The sequence below is a fragment of the Homo sapiens genome, chromosome 6 (genome assembly GCF_000001405.40).
Source record: "Homo sapiens chromosome 6, GRCh38.p14 Primary Assembly".
Lineage (NCBI taxonomy): Eukaryota > Metazoa > Chordata > Mammalia > Primates > Hominidae > Homo > Homo sapiens.
The window spans coordinates 33,240,372-33,247,704 of NC_000006.12; the positions used below are offsets into that span (position 1 = coordinate 33,240,372).

The 7,333-nt window shown below is 45.4% G+C and overlaps 1 long non-coding RNA gene across 1 annotated transcript; it reads right to left on the reverse strand.

Moving 5' to 3' along the window:
* Nucleotides 1-5,703: 5,703 nt before the first annotated feature.
* Nucleotides 5,704-6,502, reverse strand: LOC105375022 (uncharacterized). Its single transcript, NR_187834.1, has 2 exons — nt 6,368-6,502; nt 5,704-6,179 (listed from the first exon to the last, which is right to left on the reverse strand). It is a non-coding gene; the product is annotated as an uncharacterized LOC105375022 (long non-coding RNA).
* Nucleotides 6,503-7,333: the final 831 nt, after the last annotated feature.

Here is a 7,333-nt window from a genome sequence, read left to right on the forward strand (position 1 = left end):
ACCAGAGAAGCTGCCAGGCCAGTTCATTAAGCCTTGGCTTGACCAGGAAATCCAGTGTTTTCTTGAAGGATGGAAAATCTGGAGATGAAGAATGGGAATCATGTACTGTCAAACGCAGTTGCCAAGGGGTTCAAGCCCAGGGGTGTGAAGAAGAGCTGAGACCTGCCTACAGATGCCAAGATTGCAGGGCTCATCCTGGACTATTAATGAGACCATCCAGAGGCCAAGGAGCTTACAGGGCTCACCTTTGGGGATACTGGCCCAGCAGTGCTGCAGATCCTACCCTGAGTAGAGTGACATGAGAACTGGGCTGGGGGAGTTGAGGAGAAAAGGAAGTCTCAAAGGCTCTGTGTGTTTGTGTGTGTGTGTGTGTGTGTGTGTGTGTGTGTGTCTGTGTGTGTGTGTGTAAACTGGAAATGGTTAAACTCCCCTGTGTGCAGTGGCATACCAAGCAGGGTGGAGTGGGGGGAGGAGGCTACACTGCAAGGGGTATTTTGTCACTAACATTTTTTTATAATTGCTGGTGCGCAGTATCAATAAAAAGTTGGCTTCAGGCTGGGCGCAGTGGCTCACACCTGTAATCCTAGCACTTTGGGAGGGTGAGGTGGGCAGATCACCTGAGGTCAGGAGTTCAAGACCAGCCTGGCCAACGTGGTAAAACCCCGTCTCTACTAAAAACACAAAAATTAGCCTGGCGTGGTGGTGTGTGCCTGTAATGCCAGCTACCTGGGAGGCTGAGGCAGGAGAATCACTGGAACCCGGGAGGCAGAGGCTGCAGTGAGCCAAGATGGTGCCACTGCACTCCAGCCTGGGCCAAAGAGTCAGACTCCATCTCAAAAAAAAAAAAAAAAAAAAAGTTGGTTTTAGAATTATTTTTAAATTCTCCACAGACAATACACCTTCTTATTACCTGCACCTGGAACAACCATCCCCACTCCCTGCCCATGGTAAGCTGCAGCCTGTGTGTCCTATGTGGGTAAACAGTCCAGCTCTACCAGATTGTAAATGGGGTTGGGGGGTCGGGGTAGAGGGCATGGCGAGTAAGGATTATTTTTCGCATAATAACAGTTTTATGCAGCATGGTTTTGTACAAGAGAAGTGTTTTCTAAATATTTGGCAAATAAATGAATAATTGAATTTGAGTAATAATGAAGAAAATATAAGCAGGAATTTTACAAGAAGACCTTTAGTTTAAACAAGAAGAAAGCAAGCCAGGCACGGTGGCTCATGCCTGTAATCCCAGCACTTTGGGAGGCTGAGGTGGGTGGATCACCTGATGTCAGGAGTTCAAGACCAGCCTGGCCAACATGGTGAAACCCCATCTCTACTAAATATACAAAAAAATAGCTGGGCATGGTGGTGGATGCCTGCAATCCCACCTACTTGGGAGGCTGAGGCAGGAGAATCACTTGAACCCGGGAGGCAGAGGTTGCAGTGAGCCAAGATTGTGCCACTGCACTCCAGCCTGGGTGACAGGGCAAGACTCCGTCTCAAAAAAAAAAAAAAAAAAAGAAGAAGAAGAAGGCATTCCTAATTACCCTGGTTGTAAGATAATACAAAACAGGAAATGACAGCATCATTAGAGATTTAAGGTTTCTTAACTTTTTACGTCTAGGACAGGTTTTGGAAGTCTGGTGAAGTCTGTGGAGTGTCAGAATAATCTTCAACTGCATAAAGTAAAATAAATGGGATTACAAAGGAAAACAATCATATTGAAGTACAGTTGTCAAAATGAAACAAAATGTGTAAGAAGAAGATCTAGTGGTGAGTCTAACCACTACCACTAACTACAAAGTAACCGTGAGCATACATGACATTTTGAAATTTCTGCAACTACTGGAAGATGACACAAATGTGTAAATTCTATTAACAACAGTCACATGTACTACAAATACCGGTGTAGGTTTATTGCCTACATTTATCATTGGAGAAAATGCTAAATTTCAGTTAGAGATTAGTGAAAATGAAATGTAATTTTCTCCTATTTTTGTTTGCCCTTTGGGATCCTGGATGAAGAGCCCTGCATTACACTGGGCACAGTGGCTCATGCCTGCAATCCCAGCTACTAAGGAGGCTGAGGTAGGAGGATCGCTGGAGCCTAGGAAGTTGAGGCTACAGTGAGCCGTGATCGTGCCACTCACTGCACTCCAGCCTCGGCAATAGAGCGAAACCCAGAAAGAAGAAAGAAAAGAAAAGAGAGAGAGAAGGAAGGAAGGAGAAAGAAAGAGAAGAAAGAAGAAAGGAGGGAGGGAGGGAAGGAGGGAGGAAGGAAGGAAGGAAAGAAGGAAAGAAGGAAGGAAGGAAAGAAGGAAAGAAGGAAAGAAAAGAATGAAAGGCCAGGCACGGCAGCTTACTCCTGTAATCCCAGCACTTTGGGAGGCCAAGGCAGGTGGATCACCTGAGGTTGGGAGTTTGAGACGAGCCTGACCAACAAGGAGAAACCCCATCTCTACTAAAAATACAAAATTAGCTGGGCATGGTGGCACATGCCTGTAATCCCAGCTACTCGGGAGGCTGAGGCACGAGAATTGCTTGGCCCAGGGAGGTGGCAGTTGTGGTGAGCTGAGATCGTGCCGTTGCACTCTAGCCTGGGCAACAAGAGTGAAACTCCGTCTCAAAAAAAAAAAGAAAGAAAGAAAAGAAAAGAAAAGAAAGAAAGAAAGAAAGAAAGAAAGAAAGAAAGAAAGAAAGAAAGAAAGAAAGAAGAAAGAAAGAAAGAAAGAAAGAAAGAAGGAAAATAGCTCTGCATGAGAGCCAGTGATGTCTCAGAGTGGGAAGGAAGCCAGGTCAACATGTTGCCCCTACCAACAAGCCCTTAGGTTGACAGGAGGTGCCTCTCCCAGCTTTACATTCAGAGCCAACCTCCCCAGGAGGCTCTTTTCCATCCTAAGCCTTGTTTCAGGGATCAGGGAGTGGCAACTCTCCACATGCCTGCATGCTTCCATCTGAACCAATGTTGAAGGCTCTTCTACTATTCAAAGCCCCTAAGGATGTAACATTTGGAGAAAATATGCTAAAAAGACCTGGTACTCAGAGACAATTTTCTCCAAATGTTTGAATGGGAGCATCAAATGAGTCCCCAGCCTTGAAGGTTGGGTTGGTCTGGGGAGGAAAACTAATTGTCCTTTCAGCTCAGCTATATCATCAGTCCCAAGGCAGACGTTCAGAAGATTCTTTTCTAGTTCATAGGGAAAATGACACTTAATCCTATGAGAGCCCCAAAGGCAGAGGACATGGGATGTGGTATCAGGAACCTGGAAGACATGCTTTTGCAATGGGGTACACAGCACTTAAGTGAGGGAAACCACCAGGAAGTGGCACTGGCCCTGGAATTCCCTTCATGTCACACAGGGACAGAGAGGAAACTAACATTTTCTAAGGACTTATTCCATACCAGGGGCTGCACATTCTGTGTCTTATATCTATTACAAACTGTTTCTTCATAAGGCAGGTGATTTGTTTTTCTTTTCTTCTTTTCTTTCTTTTTTTTTTTTTTTTTTGAGACAGGGTCTCCCTCTGTCACCTGGGCTGGAGTCTAGTGGTGCCATCTCGGCTCACTGCAACCTCTGCCTCCCCAAGCAATCCTCCTGCCTCTCAGCCTCCGGAGTAGCTGGGATTACTGGCATGCACCACCACACCCAGCTAATTTTTGTATTTTTGGTAGAGACAGAGTTTCGCCATGTTGCTCAGGCTAGTCTCGAACTCCTGTGCTCAAGTGATCTGCCCACCTCAGCCTCCCAAAGTGCTAGGATTACAGGCGTGGACCACCATGCCCTGCCTGTTTTGTGATCTGCCCGCCTCGGCCTCCCAAAGTGCTGGGATTACAGGCATGAGCCACCACGCCTGGCTAGTGCCTGTATGTGTGTATGTGTGTGTGTATGTATGTATATATATATATATATATATATATATATATATATATATATATATATATATTTTTTTTTTTTTTTTTTTTTTTTTTTTTTGAGACAGAATCTTGCTCTTTTGCCCAGACTGGAGTGAAATGGTGTGATCTTGGCTCACTGCCAACTTCTGCCCCCTGAGTTCAAGCAATTCTCCTGCCTCAGCCTCCCAAGTAGTTGGGATTACAGGCACCTGCCACCATGCCTGGCTAATTTTTGTATTTTTAGTAGGGACAGGGTTTTGCCATGTTGGCCAGGCTGGTCTCAAATTCCTGACCTCAGGTGATCCACCTGCCTCAGCCTCCCAAGTAGTTGGGATTACAGGCGCCTGCCACCATGCCTGGCTAATTTTTTTATTTTTAGTAGAGACACGGTTTTGCCATGTTGGCCAGGCTGGTCTCAAATTCCTGACCTCAGGTGATCCACCTGCCTCAGCCTCCCAAAGTGTTAGGATTACAGGCGTGAGCCACCGCACCCAGCCTTTTCATATATATATATATATATATATACTTTTTTTTTTGAGACAGAGTTTCGCTCTTGTTGCCCAGGCTGGAGTGCAATGGCGCAATCTTGGCTCACCACAACCTCCTCTGGGTTAGGGCAATTCTCCTGCCTCAGCCTCTCGAGTAGCTGAGATTACAGGTATGTGCCACCATGCCTAGCTGATTTTTTATATTTTTAGTAGAGATGGGGTTTCTCCATGTTGGTCAGGCTGGTCTTGAACTCCAAAACCGCAGGTGATCCGCCCACCTCAGCCTCCCAAAGTGCTGGGATTACAGGCGTGAGCCACCGCGCAGGGCCTCTTTTCATATATTTTTAACTAAATTAATAAAACAGCTGGGGCAGTGGCTCATGCCTGTAATTCCAACACTTTGGGAGGCCGAGGTAGGAGATCACTTGAGCTCAGGAGTTCAAGACCAGCCTGGGCAACATGGTGAAACCTCGTTTACCAAAAAATACAAAAATTAGCCAGGTGTGGTGGCACATGACTGTAGTCCCAGCTATCCCAGAGGCTGAGGTGGGAGGATTGCTTAAATCCATGAGGTCGAGGCTGCAGTAAACTGTGATCATGCCACTGCATTCCAGCCTGGGTAACTGAGCAAGACTCTGTCTCAAAAAACTAAAAACTAGGCAGGCGTGGTGGCTCATGCCTGTAATCCCAGCACTTTGGGAGGCCGAGGCAGGCAGATCACATGAGGCCAGGAGTTTGAGACCAGCCCAGCCAACATGGCAAACATGTATTTCAGTGTCTACTGAAAATACAAAAATTAGCTGGATGTGGTGGTGCGTGCCAGTAATCCCAGCTACTCAGTAGGCTAAGCCAGGGGAATCGCTTGAACCCGGGAGGCAGAGGTTGCAGTGAGCCGAGATGGTGCCTCTGCACTCCAGCCTGGGCAACAGAGCGAGACCCTGTCTCAAAAACACAAACAAATAAAGAAAACTCCAAAAAACTGAAAAGTAAATAAATAAATAAAACAAAACAAAATGTGGAAGCAATAGCAAAGGCTTGACCTTGCTCCAAAATCACAGGTTTTTTTTAAGCTGTGTTCTTATAAACTTCCAAATGAGATGAAGATAAACTTCTGCTGAGAGGGGCATGGTCATGACTTACAGTTTGGGCAGGACAAAGTATTTTCCATCACACACACACACACACACACACACACACACACACACACACTCACCTTCACACATACGGTGTTATTTCTACTAAGTTGTACTTGATTCTTCTCCAGTGGCTCTGTCTGGAGTTTATTTAATGTTACTAGTTTGCCAATGAATAGACTAAGACAATAAGCAATTTTGCTTTTATTTCTTTATTTTAAAAAACTGCTTGTTAGTCTTATGAGAAAACAAAGTGAAGAATAAAGGTAACTACTGCATGTACCACAGTAGCGAGAGAAAAAAGAGTGTCAATTAATCTAATTGATAGTCAGAGGATTGCATGGCTATTAGTGATGGAGTCGGGATTTGGGCACGTGTACATTTGTTGGATTTTGCAGCCTGGCATCTATATCCCATTTGTCTGGTGGCAAGATCCCATTTTTGCGTTGGGGCCATTATCCTCCAACATTGGGTAGTCTATGGTACTATTCCTCAAGGGACCCTCCCCTTCCTCAGATGAGTGTGAGCACCTGACCCACCCTAAGCCTATTGGAGTTCTCTCTTTTTGATCCAAAGTAGAAGCACTGACCATTGGTGTCTGCTGCCTGGATGCTGGAACTATCCTGGCTTCTGTCCTTTCCAAAGACCGCCTGTTCAGCTTTTCCTTCAGTTCTGTAAATATTTTTTCAATAATTTACTATTACTTATTAATCTGTTGCTTCTCTACAACCGGCTGCCTCCTCAGCTCCATGACTCCCAGCCTGGAGTCATAGAACAAAAGCTGAATGTGGGCACAGAAGGTTCAGCCACTGAGTGCCTATATGGTTTTGAACTCATTATTTGAAATTCAAGCTCATTACCTGAAACAGGAAGAACACCTCCTCATAAGGCTGGTATGTGAATTCAATTAGATGAAATATGTGCTCTCCGAGATCAAGGACTTTGATTTAGTCTCTGCTGAATCCGCAGTGCCTATCACAGAACACAGAGAAGAGCTTCAATAAATGTGTTGGTTTAATGACAACTGCTTCTGAAAACACTTTGTTAACGCTAGTACGTAACATGAATAGCTGTGTCCATTATGTCCAGGGTGAAGTCAGCCAATTTCGATTCTCCTCTCCTTAAAGTTTTGTCTTGCTTTCTCTTTCTTTCCTTGAATCTTCACACTAAATCTACTTTGTTTTTTAATTTTTTAAAAAGAGATAGGGTCTCACTCTGTCACCCAGGCTGGAGTGCAGTAGTGCAATCATAGCTCACTGCAATCTCTAACTCCTGTTCTCAAGCAATCCTCCTGCCTCAGCCTCACAACTAGCTGGGACCACAGGCATGGGCCACCATGCTTGGCTTTTTGCTTTTTTTTTTTTTTTTTTTTGGTAGAGATGGGTCTCCCTATGTTGCCCAGGCTAGTCTCAAACTCCTGTGCTCAAGATCCTCTGGCCTCTGCCTTCCAAAAGGATTACAGGCATGAGTCACCACCCTGGGCCTCTGACTACTTTATTTTAAAGCCCAGCCAATTTATATCTTTTTATTATTATTATTATTATTATTTTTGAGACAGAGTCTCACTGTCACCCAGGCTGGAGTGCAGTGGCCATCTCGGCTCATTACAACCTCCGCCTCCCAGGTTCAAGCGACTCTCCTGACTCAGCCACCCTAGTAGCTGGGATTATAGGCAGGCACCACCACGCCAGGCTAATTTTTGTATTTTTAGTAGAGATGGGTTTTCGCCATATTGGCCAGGCTGGTCTAGAACTCCTGGCCTTAAGGGATCTTCCCGCCTCGGCTTCCCAAAGTTCTGGGATCCCAGGTGTCAGCCACCTCGCCAG